The sequence below is a fragment of the Homo sapiens genome, chromosome 4 (assembly GCF_000001405.40).
Source record: "Homo sapiens chromosome 4, GRCh38.p14 Primary Assembly".
Classification (NCBI taxonomy): domain Eukaryota; kingdom Metazoa; phylum Chordata; class Mammalia; order Primates; family Hominidae; genus Homo; species Homo sapiens.
The window spans coordinates 68878396-68892810 of NC_000004.12; the positions used below are offsets into that span (position 1 = coordinate 68878396).

The 14415-nt window shown below is 36.1% G+C and overlaps 2 pseudogenes; both read right to left on the reverse strand.

Annotated features, from left to right (window-relative positions):
* The window catches only part of LOC101930041 (UDP-glucuronosyltransferase 2B10-like), a 47384-nt pseudogene that overhangs the window by 17067 nt on the left and 15902 nt on the right, over positions 1–14415 (reverse strand).
* Positions 3906–6052, reverse strand: SPOPLP3 (SPOPL pseudogene 3; annotated as a pseudogene).

A 14415-nucleotide genomic window follows, 5' to 3' on the forward strand; every position in this document is an offset into this window, starting at 1 on the left:
TGATCTTTTTTTTTTAATGTATCTGTTCCTAGTTTTTTTTTTATTGTTAAATTGAATGAATAAGAATGGTACCTTACTTATTTGATTATTGTGAGTAGTAATGTAATGATTTTTAGGATACTTGGTAGAATTATTCTCATCATTAAGAGAATAAGTAGATGTTCACTATTATTACTGTTTTACTTGCATTGTGATTTTAAAATCTAAGTGGTGCTTAATATTTTACTTTGAGGCATTGTAGTTCCATTTATTTAGAGTGTTGAAATAATTATTGACTAATAAGGAATAAGGATGAATATAAGTATGAGGCTTACCAAGTCAAAATCAAAAATTGCTAAAGCATGGCACTGTAGCAATATCAATGGAGGTAACTTCTCTCTTTGATATTTAAAAAACAGAGTAAGAAGACTATGTTTTTTTAGAGGAGGGCATTAATCCTGATACATATTTTTAATACAATTGGGAAAAACTATAACCAAGAAGTTACATAATACAAATTACCAATATAATGCATGTCATTTCATATACAATGTTCATTAACTAATTAAAAATTATTTTTCAACAGAGCATTAATTAAAATTTATTCATATTACCAATATAATAGCAATAGCATAACTGAAATTAATATATGTATTGAAATAATTTTAAAATCCTCTATTTCTGGTTTCAGACATTTTGGCTATTAAATGGGAATATTCCAATTTATCTCTTTCAAGTCAATTATTTCTCAATTTTATAAATCTTCCAAATAAGCAAAAGCAACCACAACCATAAGAGCAAGAATATGGCTACACTTATAAAGTATTTTCTTTTTTCAATAATTTTTAAAGGCAAGTTTGAAAGCTTTAGTTGCTTGCAAGTTATCAGTGATGGGATCAAAATGTAAGCATAAAAATTTGGAAAGCATTAAATATAATGGGAATTAGAGATAGATTGTCATGCTGATTTACTGAAAATAAATTATTTTACAAGAGTTTTAAAAACATGGAAAAAGGGTAAGTAAAGTGAGATGATGGACATGTTTATTTACTTCATTATGGTAGTCTTTTAACTAAGTATTTGTATCCCAAAATATCACTTCACATACCTTCAATAGACAAAACAAAATTTATTTAAAGACTAATATTTGATGAGATCTCATCCTAAAAGACCCTCATAACTGTGCTGAAAATTAGTCAGTGCTGTAATAATGTTCATGCTTCTTTCCTTCAACTTTGTTCTCAGTCTTCCTTATCATCTTCCTGTTACCATCTTCAGCAATTCCTCTTATTTCACTTTTTGGCTATTTTAAAATGTATGTACTATCCTAAAATCTCTGACAAATGTTTCCACTAAAACCACCAAAAAAACAGATTGTGATACTCACAGTGGTTTATTGACAATTGTCTTTAAGCATTACCAAAAAAAAAGTACTCAGTGCTGTGTTCCTGTTTAAAGTCACTGCTGCTTCCTTGGCCTTCATGTGAGAAGTTATCAACACATGCTATGTAGTTAAAAAAATACATTCATGAAGAGTCATTAATGACTGCTTTTCATGCATTGATCAAATCTATAGTTGACATTGTTTTTGAGTCTACTCTAACAGCTTATGCCTTAGCCTTCATGTGAGCAAACTTATCAGGTTAATTTACAAACAAAGAAGGCCCACCACAGGGATCCCATGGTAGATCCTCTCATAGGTGCCATTGGCTCCACCATGAGGTATAAAAGCTTTGGTTTTTAGATGACCTAGGATTACATAAATTTTTGAATAATTATTTGTGGTGAGTCTTAGAATTAAAATGAGCAATGCTCAATATGAGGCAATGAAATGGGCAGTGTTCTCTAGATAACAAATTACTGCAACAGTAAAACTGCATTAAAATTACTTTCAGATCTCAAGAAAGAAGCACCAAGTTCTCTGGGGCAATAAGTGAAGGCTACACATTGAAGAAGTGGTATGTGACTTGAGACTTGAAGAATGAGTACAATATTGTCAAGTGGACAAATAGAAAGAGCACACTGTGGATAAAGAAAACTGCATATCCCCTACTATAGCCCCCCAAAAAGCAGGATGCATGCTAGAACATCTACTTGCTATCTGAGTTGTAAAAGTAACTCCACATTTGCATCAAAAATATTAGTATAGATGATTACAAGAATGCTATACAGGATATAAAACTAAAAACTGCTTTACAAATATTCAAATATCAAAGTTGTGATGTACATATTAGAAAGCTAGTTATTACTATATTTTATGGTGGAAGGAGCATCTGAACCTCTCTTCCTGCCTGGCTTCCTTCTGCCCGGTATGCGATGCTCTTTTAGTTTAGCAGTCCATAGATGGCTTGTGTTAGTCAGCTCAGTTAGACACCTGCCTTATCACAGGAAAAAAGGGCTTTCTATATCAGGGGTTCTTGCCTTGGTTTATCAGAAGAATGGGATTGTCGTGCGCTTGAAGAATGAGTGCAAGGTTTTATTGAGTAGAAGTAGTTCTCAGCAGATGGGGGAGCCAGCAGGCAGACGGATTTCCCCTAGAGTAGGGCTGCTGAGCAGCCTGACTCTTCTTCAATTGCCCCAGCCAAACTCCGCATTGTTCTGCCAGTTGATGGCCTGCCTGCGTGCTCCCCTGGATGTCCTTTTGATGTCCAGCCACTTGTTTCTTCTTCTGCTAATCCACTCGTTTTGACGTCCAGCCACTTGTGTGCTTGCCTGCTAGAGTCTCAGGAGTTTTATAGGCATATGATGGGGGTGTGGCAAGGCAGAGTGATCTTGGGAAATGCAACATTTGGGTGTGAAAGCAGGAGTGCCTGTCCTCACCTAGGTCCCTGGGCACAAGCCAAGGGTGGAGCCCTTGCCAGGGACCCACCCTTCTCCTCCCTGCAGTTCCCTGCCCCTCTTCCATATCATTTCTTTCTCCTCTTCCTCCTCCTCATCCTCCTTCTTCTTCTGAGAAAGAGAGAGAAAGAGAGAGGGAGAGAGAGAGGGTCACATTGTGTTTCTGAAGTTGGAATGCAGTGAAGCAGTGGTGCAATCATAGCTCACTTCAACCTTAAACTACTGGGCTCAATCAATTCTCCTGCCTCAGCCTCCTGACTAACTAACCCTACAGGCATTTCACCTCAATGTCCTGCTTTTTTTTTTTTTTTTTTTTTTTTTTTTTTTTTTTTTTAAAGAAATGGGCTCTCTCTAAGTCATCTAGCTTTGTCTCAAACTCCTGGGCTCAGGGGATTCTCCCACTTAGGCCTCACAAAGTGCTGGTATTATAGGCATGAGCCACTGTGCCTGGCCTTGACTCCTGCTTATATCCCCCTTCTTTCTCAGATGGGAGGTAGCATCAATATAGGTGTTAGAAGCAAAGTCGTTTTGGGGAAATGTTTTATACTGTACAGGATCAACTTTAGACTCTCCTTTCTGTTACTTCTTTCTTTCAGACATTGGCAAAGTCCAGTCACCAAAGCAGTTTGGTTTTTCTATTTTGCTAAATATACTTGGCTGAGTGGGTACTTAGACTCAAGAAAGGTGAGCCTTGGGTTTCCATTCTCTGAATAGCCCTCTGAACAACATACTGAATAGGCCTATTTCAAAATTAGGGTAAGTAAAACGGCCCAGGTTACATGGAAAGCCTAAACTCCATGATACGTTTCAGATTTTTTTCAATACCTACTTCTTGTTATTGTGCTAGTGAAGTTACCCATTAATACATAACTTCTTTCTGATAACATTTATAACATTTGTAGTGTGTATTCTTCAGTCATCCTGTAAACAAAAGTACTAAATGACAGGGCAGAATTTGTTGATATCTGTTACCTGCCTCCAATATCATGATAATATCAAAATGCCACACTACACCTCCTCATTACCATTCTTTTTTGTTCTTATAAATTCAAGTTATCATTTGGTGTCATTCATTTTTTTTCCAAATTATAGTTTATAACTATTCATATTAAGCAGAATTTCCATATCATCCACAATGTTATTACAGTAACTGAAACACAAAGAAATAAGAGATGGGTGGGGATGCTCATGGTGTGTGACCTGATATACTCTAAAGTTTCTCTCTTTTTGTTTGCATCTCCCACAGGCAAGTATCAGTTCTCTCTCTCTCTCTCTCTTTTTTGTTTGAGATGAAGTATCACTCTTGTTGCCCAGGCTGGAGTGCAGTGGCGCGATCTTGGCTCACTGCAACCTCTGCCTCCCCGGTTCAGGCAATTCTCTTGCCTCAGCCTCACAAGTTCCTGGGATTACAGGCATCCACCACCACGCCTGGGTAATTTTTTGTATTTTTAGTAGAGACAGGGTTTCGCCATGTTGGCAAGGCTGGTCTCAAACTCCTGACTTCAGGTGATCCACCTGCCTTGGCCTTTGGTTCAGGTTTTGAAGGAGAGTAGACTATCCAAGATTCATTTATTGTTAGATGTATTTTCCAAAGTGTGAAAAACAGGAGTAAATTCAATAATGAATATCTGCAATCCAAAACTATTTAATACAATCAAGAATATCTTTCTTATTTATTATCCCAAACATCCCAGTTGCCTCCTTTTAAAAATTTCTTTCAAGTATTAAAACACAATTAATTCTACCTTATTAATTATCTCAAAAGCAAAAATAAATATGTACCATTCAGCATACAAAGTTACACAGTAAAAATGAAAGTGTGTATATACATATTATGTATATATATATATCTTTGCTAATTGACCCACTCATTAAATTTACATTTGGTCATACTTACTCTTAACATGTACATATAAATGTAGGTCACTGTAAATTAAAAAAAAACTAGTTCCACACAATACATGCTTTCTTCATGATATTTAAACCTCATTCAATTCTCATATATTGTAAACTTAGATAAACCCACAGTTTATTGGACAGTTAACATACAAGACAAACATCACAATTTTCACTAAAAATCTGGGCCAACTCATTGTTTATTTGCCCCTTGAAATAAAAAATAAATTAGAATTGAAGCAGTGTATTGCTGTAACTTACTTGGAAGGTAAGTAGGTTCTCTCATATTTATAGAACTTAGATTGAAGACATTACTGGTAAACTCCAATACGAGTGCTTTTAAAGAGAATTTAATCTTAAACCTTGAGACAGCGTAGGACAAACCCTATAAAATTCAGTTTTATTTTTCAAAATAAAAGATCCTTTTGAAACTTAATATCTTCACTTATCAATATTACTGCATTATAAAGCTAGTTTATATAATCCTGCATAGCATTGGTCAAAATGACAAGGCACAATAAAAAAATTAAAACATTATATGAACAAGAGAAGTCATTGAAAATAATTTAAGGCCTTGAAGTGATTTAATCAGTCTAACTTAAACCTGAAAAATAAACCATTAATTATCCACCTGAAATTCAAGAAATATGCTTTTTAAGCTTCTGTTCTGTGGACCAAATAACAGAAACAACTCTTTCTTATGGTTTATGTATTAGAATCCTTCTGGACTTGAATGACTAAAAGTCAATTCCATTTTTCAATTGTTCATGGAAGATTTAGGACTGTTTTAGCCGTGTGTGTGGAATGCCAAACTGTGGACACTGTGCAGATGCTAGTGCTCAGAAGGCTTCTGCTGCTAAGTAAGGGTGAGACTGAATCGTGCACTTTCACCTTGATGTTTCCATTATGTTGGTTGCTTCGTTGACATTCCAGTTTTTCTTATCTTTACAGCGAAGTTGTCGAAGTACACTGCACCTATTAATAATGTCTATGGTTTGTGCTTTCAACTGTTCTGCAACATGCAAATCTGCAAGGACAAGGGGATCAGCAATATTTTCTACTGAGAGATTACTACAAAGCTTCCTCACACATGACCTTTAGCTGTTCCCAGTGCATGTTTGTCTGCAGCTGCCAACAAGTTGTCCGTCATTTTGTCAAGGTTTAGTTCTTTCCCTGTGTTAATGAATGTCATCATTTCTTTAAAAACATCAGGGTCTAAATCATTTATTTCCACTCAATTCTTTATGCTTTCTTCCATTTCATGTTGAAACACGGCATTAAAAACGGGATTGAGGTACAAGCAGATTTATGAGCTTTAAATTCTTGTCCTCTCAATAAATTAGGTATTGATGGGACGTATCTCAAAATAATAAGAGCTATCTATGACAAACCCACAGCCAATATCATACTGAATGGGCAAAAACTGGAAGCATTCCCTTTGAAAACTGGCACAAGACAGGGATGCCCTCTCTCACCACTCCTATTCAACATAGTGTTGGAAGTTCTGGCCGGGGCAATTAGGCAGGAGAAGGAAATAAAGGGTATTCAATTAGGAAAAGAGGAAGTCAAATTGTCCCTGTTTGCAGATGACATGATTGTATATCTAGAAAACCCCATTGTCCCAGCCCAAAATCTCCTTAAGCTGATAAGCAACTTCAGCAAAGTCTCAGGATACAAAATCAATGTACAAAAATCACAAGCATTCTTATATACCAATAATAGACAAACAGAGAGCCAAATCATGAGTGAACTCCCATTCACAATTGCCTCAAAGAGAATAAAATACCTAGAGATTAATAACCAGAATATATAAGGAGTTGAAACAAATCTATAGAAAAACATCTAATAATCCAAGTTACAAACAAGCAAAAAATCTGAATAGACACTTCTCAAAAGAAGAGGTAGAAATGAAAAACAGGCATATAAAAAGGTGCTCAACATCACTGAACATATGAGAAATGCAAATCAAAACTACAATGAGATATTATCTTACCATAGTTAAATGGCTTTTAGCTATGTCAGACAATAACAAATGCTGAAAGAATGTTCAGAAAAGGGAATCCTTGTACACTGTTTTTGGTAATGTAAATTAGTACAATCACTATAAAGAACTCTTTGAAGTTTCCTCAAAAGACTAAAAATTGAGCTACCATATGATCTAGCAATCTCACTGCTGAATATATACTTAAAAAAGGAACTCAATATATTGAAAGGAAATCTGCACTCCCAGGTTTGTTGCAGCACTGTTAAAATAGCTAAGAATTGGAAGCAACCTAAGTGTCTATCAGTAGATTAACGGATTAAGAAAATGTGGTACAAACACATAACACTGTAATACTAAGCCATAAAAAGAAAAGAGATTCCATCATTTCTGACAACATGGATAGAAGTGAAAATCATTATGTTAAGTGAAGCAATCCAGGCACCAAAAGACAAAGATTTTATGTTACCCCTTATTTATGGGATCTAAAAATCAAAACAATTAAACTTGTGGAGATAGAGAATAGAAAGGTGGTTACCAGAGGCTGGGAAAGATAATGGGGGTGTGGGGTTTAGGTGGGGATGGTTAAAAGGTTAAAGAATAAGTAAATAAGACCTATTATTTGATAGCACACCAGAGTGACTATAGTCAATGATTTTATTTATTTATTTATTTATTTATTTATTTATTTATTTATTTATTCATTTATTCACCTTGAGATAAAACCCCCATCTCCCTGGGACAGAGAGCACCTGGGGGAAGGGGTGGCTGTGGGCACAACTTCAATATTTAAATGTCCCTGCCTGATGGCTCTGAAGAGACCAGTGGACCTCTCAGCACAGTGTTCGAGCTCTGCTAAGGGTCAGACTGCCTCCTGAAGTGGGTCGCTGATTCCTGTGTATCCTTACTGAGAGATACTTCCCAATAGGGGCTGAAAGATGCCTCATCCACGAGAGCTCTGACTGACATCTGGCAGGTGGCCCTCTGGGATGAAGCTTTCAAAGGAAAGAACAGGCAGAAAACTTTGCTGTTCTGCAGCCTCCTCTGGTGATATCTAGCCAAACAGGGTCAGGAGTGGACCTCCAGCAAACTCCAGCAGACCTGCAGCAGAGGGGCCTGACAATTAGAAATAAAAGTAACAAACAGAAAAGAATAGCATGTCCACTCAAAGACCCCATCTGAAGGTCACCAACATCAAAGACAAAAGGTAGATAAATCCACAAAGATGGGGAGAAGCCAGTGTAAAAAGGCTGAAAATTCCAAAAGCCAGAATGCCTCTTCTCCTACAAAGGATCACAACTTGCCAGCAAGGGAACAAAACTGGATAGAGAATGAGTTTGATAGGCTTCAGAAGATGGGTGATAACAAACTCCTCCAAGCTAAAGGAGCATGTTGTAATCCAATGCAAGGAAGCTAAGAACCTTGAAAAGAGGTTAGATGAATTTCTAACTAGAATAACCAGTGTTTGACTTCTTCCTGGTTTAAGCTTGGGAAAGTGTACGTGTCCAGGAATTTATCAATTTGTTCTAAATTTTCTAGTTTATTTGCGTACAGGTGTTTATAGTATTCTCTGATGGCAGTTTGTATTTCTGTGGGATCAGTGGTGATATCCCCCATATCATTTTTTATTGCGTCTATTTGATTCTGCCAATTCATAGCACATACAGCATTCTGGAGAACTTTGGCCCAGCCATGAAAAGTACTGTTACCTAGCTGACACTGTAACTATAACTTCTAAAGGCCATTTCACTATAGTACAAAGGCAGTTGCTTCAGGAGAATGAGGAACATGGTAAAACCAGTAAATTTCATGAGCATGAGCTCATTGTTGCACTTCTTTGTCAGTAAAGCCAGTTCCTTAGTCAGAAACAATACTGTGTGGAAGACCATGATAGAGAATTAGGCATCCAGTAAATTTATGGATGGTAGTTTTGACAGATGTATATGTTCAGAGAAGATAAATCCATATTCAAAATAAGTATGTATTCCAGTAAGAAAAAAATGCAGCTCCTTCTATGATGGAGGTGGTCTAAGGTAATCAATCTGCCACTGGGAAGCTGGTTGATTATCTTGGAGAATGATGCCATATCAGGGGCTTAGCATGGCTCTCTGTTCCTGCATATTGGGCACACAGTGGTGGCTTTAGCCAGGTTGAACTTAGTGAGTGAAAGATTATGTTGCTTAACCCATGCATAACTTCCATCAATGCCATCATAGCCACTTTGCTCATGAGCCCATTGGGTGATAACAGGGGTAGCTGAGGAAAGAGTCTGACCCCAGATCTACAGGAGGGGTCATCCCATCCACTTTATTATTAAAATTTTCTTCTAGTGATGTCATTCTTTGAAGAACATTCACATGACTCACAAATGTCTTCATATATTTTGCCCCCTCAAAGAGGTTTATCCAGATAGTTTTTCCTTAATTTTCTTCATCATCAATCCTATAATCCCTCACAAATCCTTAACCTTCCAGCCTAATCATTGGCTACATCCCAATGTACTATATTAAATGCAGAATCTCTACTTAATGAGACCACATATATTAATTTGGTGTCATCAAACTTCGTGTCTCTTCTATTGTTATTCCCACACCCTTATTATCCATTTTCACATATGTTTACCCGATTTCTGATTATATAAATTAGAACACTCAGGTGTTTCTTTCAGAGTGCAGTGCACCTCCTCATGGGTGATATCTTGAATCTCCCTTTAGGGACCTGCTGAGACTTAAGTCTAGTTATAGGTTTAGAAACCAAAAGGGGTCGTTAGGATAGGTCCTGAGGAAAATCAGCCTTGCTTCACCTGCCAACTGCTTCAGGAGAGGCCATTACTGTTACTTCCGGCAATGCAGTTACGTTGACATAGGTGGAAAAACCGATGACACTGTGGGAATGGGTGAGGAATGACACTGTCATTGAGGTGGGAGGTCACTTGCCTAGGCAAAGAACAAACGAACAAACAAACAAAATTACTCAAACATTAGGCTAAATGTCCCTAGCTTCATGAGGGTCCTCCCATAGATCCCCATTTCAACTTACAGGGTCCCATTCTTTCTCAATCAATGCCCTCATTTTAACAGCAGACTCCCAGTGAGGTTGAAAATCCATCTTTTCTATACGTCAGCTAATTAAATGACTAGGGTTTCTCTTTGATTTTCAGCCATTTCATCCCTATGGCTAAAGGAGAGATGCTTCTCCTTTAGGGAACATGTAGAAATGCTTAGGCTATATCCATTTTCAGCTAAGAATTTGAATCTCTGAGCTCATCCTTTTCTTTCAACATTGTCCAGCAATGTTAGCAACAAACCAACATCATTATATTTATTGGTTTTCCACAAATTTCTGAAAGTATCATGTATAGTGTCACAAAATACCCTGCCTCTTGTAAGTGGTAAATTAGGTGTATAAAATGCATTTTTTAGCATATCTTTATAAACAGCTTAGGCCAAAAACTATCTATGGTCTCTGTATTATCGGAAGTAGGGTTCTTAGGACTTTTAGGTCTAATCAGATTATACAGCCAATTCCAGAAACCCCAACAACAATTAAGGAAATTCATCCTTAAAATTCCGTTCCTCTAGAATGACTCCTGGTACCAAAATCTGTATTAGTCAGGGTTCTCCAGAAGGACAGAAACAATAGAATATAAATGAAAAGAATTTTTAGGAAAATTGGCTCAGAAGATCAATAAAGTGAAGTCTTAAAACAAGCTATCTGCCAGCTGGAGAACCACAGACACTAAAAGCCTGGCTTAGTCAAAGTATAGATCCAGGAAACCAGACAGTGAAGTCCCCGGTTTGAGACCAAAGTCCTGATCGCCTGCAGCGGGCCACTGGTTTAAGTCGCGGGATCCAGAAGATGAAGATCCTAGAGTCTTATATCCAAAGGAAAAAATGAGAAAAAAGATGTTCCACTGTGGAATAAAGAGAGAGGAGCAAAGGCATGAGCAGAGTGTTGCCCTTTTTCCACCTGCTTTGTCGTGGTGGGACCCCAGCCAATTGAATGGTGCCTGCCCACATTGAGGGTGGGTTTTCCTTTCTCAGTCCACTAATTCTCATGTCAATCTCCTCTGCAAATATCTTCACAGACACACTCAGAAACAATGCTTCATCAGCCATCCAGGCATCCCTCAATCCGGTCAAGTTGACACCATCAAATTTAGTATATTGTGAAAATTAGTAGTAATCATTCAAATTTTTAAAAAATGTTTAAGTGAAAGTTTTAAGTCCTTGTAAACCATGGTTTAAGTGACGGTAAACGAAGCACAATCATCAGTTTTATTTAATGTGAAACTGAATATTGTGTTAAAGGAAAGTAGGCTATTCACAGGTTGGCTGGGTAGCGATAAATATGGAGAAACTGGTTAGAGAACTTTCTATGTCCCAAGATGTAATTATTACCACTATTTTGAAAACTAACATGATCATGAAACTAACAAAAACTGATATTCAAGAAGAATATAATGCTGAGGATGGAAGAAAGTACTTAAGAAAGAAAGGTAAATGATGATATTTGTTTTACTGACTGAGCTTTAAAAGAAGATTTTAAATATTTAAAAGAATATTCTAAAAAGGAGTGCTTAGAAAGTACAATAATTACAGTTTATAATGATTTTTTTTTCTTTTACTTTTTCTGGGATGGAGTTTTGCTCTGTCACCCAGGCTGGAGTGCAGTGGCACAATCTTGGCTCACAGCAACCTCCACCTCCCGGGTTTAAGGGATTGTCCTGTCTCAGCCTCCAGAGTAGCTGGGATTACAGGAGTGTGTCACAGAGCCCAGCAAATTTGTATATTTTTAATAGAGATAATGTTTCACCATGTTGGCCAGGCTGGTCTTGAACTCCTGACTTTGAGATCCACCCAACTCGACCTCCCAAAGTGCTGGGATTACAGGCATGAGAAATCGCGCCCGTCCTGAATTTTTTTTCTATGCCACCAGTGCCCCAGCTTATACTGAGTGAGGCAAAACTGGAGAGGTTTGTGGCGTTGAAGAAAGAGAAGTGTTGTCAGAGTTAGAAAGTCATATTTACAAAGAATATCTAAAAATTAAGAAGAAATTTACTCAGTATGTGAATTAAACTAATATATGTTTCATAGTGTACTTTAAAAGAATCACACTGATTATGGGAATATATTTTGAATACATATGTTGGCATCAGGTGCAGAAGGTGTTCAGGAAAGTGTATAGAGGGACTGGTTGAGACAGCTTTAGACAGTAAGATGCTCACCATATGCAAAAGAATTGCTACAAGACATGAGTAAAAGCTTCCTAATCAGTTTAGGGGAATTTATGAGGTGAGAGACCATACCTTAAATTAGTCAGATTGGTGTATGTCCCAACGCACTAAGCAAGGGAAGAAGAAGAATGTGGATATGGACATTAATGGGTATTCACTCATTCTCCCAGATGACTATATATTAAATATATTAGACAGTGAAGACTGGAAATGAGGACAAGTGTAGCCTGGATTTAAAGGTTAGTAAAATTATTTCCAGATGTGGTGGAATTATTTTCTAAGCTATAAAGAACACCATTCTAATGGTGATCCATTAAACATTAACACATGGATCAACTTCTTAGAATTTCTGCTTGAAATGTTAACTTCATACAATATAGTAAATGGTCACATATCACTGTTCCTGTTATCTTTACTGGGGGCTGGAAAAAATGGGAAGAACTGGGCCTCCAGACTTTTCTTGGATGCCTCATTGTCAAATGTTAATAAAGAGCACAGTGGGACTTTGTGTTTTCTATTTTTGATGGTGCCCAAATGGTCTGTACTTTCAGATGTATTGCACATTTACATTCTCAATAAAGTATATTAATGATAAAAGACTTGTAACATGGAGAATAACTCAAGGAGAAAGTCTTTTATTAGTTTTCTGTTGCTGCATTACAAACTACCTCATTTCTTAATATCTTAAAAAAAAAACTGTTTAACTCATGGTTTCATGGTTCTTCTCACAATTTTGATCTAGGCTAGTATAGCTGATCTCAGCAGGTCCTGCCCACTTTCAGGTGCATATGAAACTATAGGAACCTGGCTGATCCTAAAAGCCGTTAGTTGCATGCTTTGCATTTGCCTGAGCCGTGTCTTTGTAGGTATATGTCATGTGGGTGTCTCTCATCATCACAATGTGTAACTGTAGTACAAGTGCTAATAGGAAAGTCTCATACACTAAAGTAAACAACATTAAGCATACTATATTTATGTAATAAATGTATGATTGTGCACCATATGTCCTACTGGAAACAATTTTTAAAATTCTCAAACTACTGCCTTTCAATTTAAGACTCTACTGGGCTACATAATTTAAAGAAATTTAGAAATTTCTCTCATGAAAAAATATACATTTCGTGAAAAATATCCATACACGTTAAATAAATATGAAGAGTGTTTTAATAGGCCCCAGATTTTTAGGACAGTCCAGATTACACCTTTTCTGCTTGAGTCACTTTAATGATGCCTCAAAAATTGGATAATTTTAACATTCCACATGAAACTTTGTAATAAATTATATATATCGCACATATTTTACATACATATAACTTTATATAAAAACTTTAAAAATAGTAAATATACAGATAATTTCTGATATTAGAGATTACCAGTGTTAGTTTCTGCCTTCTTTATACTTTCTTTATACTTCATGTTTCATACATATCAGTTATGCCGTTTTCACATATATCTTTATATTTCTAAAATTTACATTTTTATTTTGTTTTCATTCTTACTCTAATAAACTCTCACCAAATCTGTACTCTTTGTCTACGATCGACTCACTTTCACTTTTGTACACTCAACTTTACTAGTTACTCCTGGTGTATGCAATTCATGTAAAGTATGTAAAATCAAAACAACATTTTACATTTATCATACTTTATGTAGAAATTAGGTCATATGTTCTCAATCTTTGCATAAAGGATGTGTGGTGATATATTCAAACTCTGATAATACATGTTATAGCAATATATTATTATTATAATCCAGTTAGCATTATGAAGTAACATGAGGGCCTATAATATGCCTTTTAAAGATTCCTAATTATGGCACGATGACAAATTCTAACTCTAGTCAAATGAAAATAATTTCATTATACAGCAAATTTTGTGAATAAAAGTTTAGTTGATAATAACATAGATCCCATCTTATTTTGAGAGCTCAATAGCAGGTACCTATAATCTCTAAAAATGCTTGGTGTGAGAATAAAAAAGAATACTGTACAGAAACTAAAGAAAGAAAAGCTTTTTCTTCTGGCTAACAACATAAACTTTAACATCTGTCTGTATATAACAATCAACCTCAAGTATAAACTACTTACAAAGTTGAAAAAATTTGACTTGGACTAAGAAATATGAGGTAAATTCAATAAATGATAAAAAATAAAAAGCAAAAATCTTATCAGATCAGACATAATTCAGGCCAAAGTATTAATCAAGAAAATGAAAAATTTTATATTTTTAAACATACACTTAACAAAAAATAAAAATAATTATACATATGCACCAATACCTACATTTTTAGAGCACTCTTAGGCTTCTCACATTTTTAAACATAAAACTTCTCATATTTTCAAAAATAAAACAGGTTTCTTTGGGAACAGATTTGGAGCTATGTGTTTATGGCTTGACTCTCCTGGTGCAGTTAAGTCTTGACCTTGGCTATACAGCTGGGGACAGAGACAGTGACACACTTCTTTCTGAGCAACATTCATGCCTTA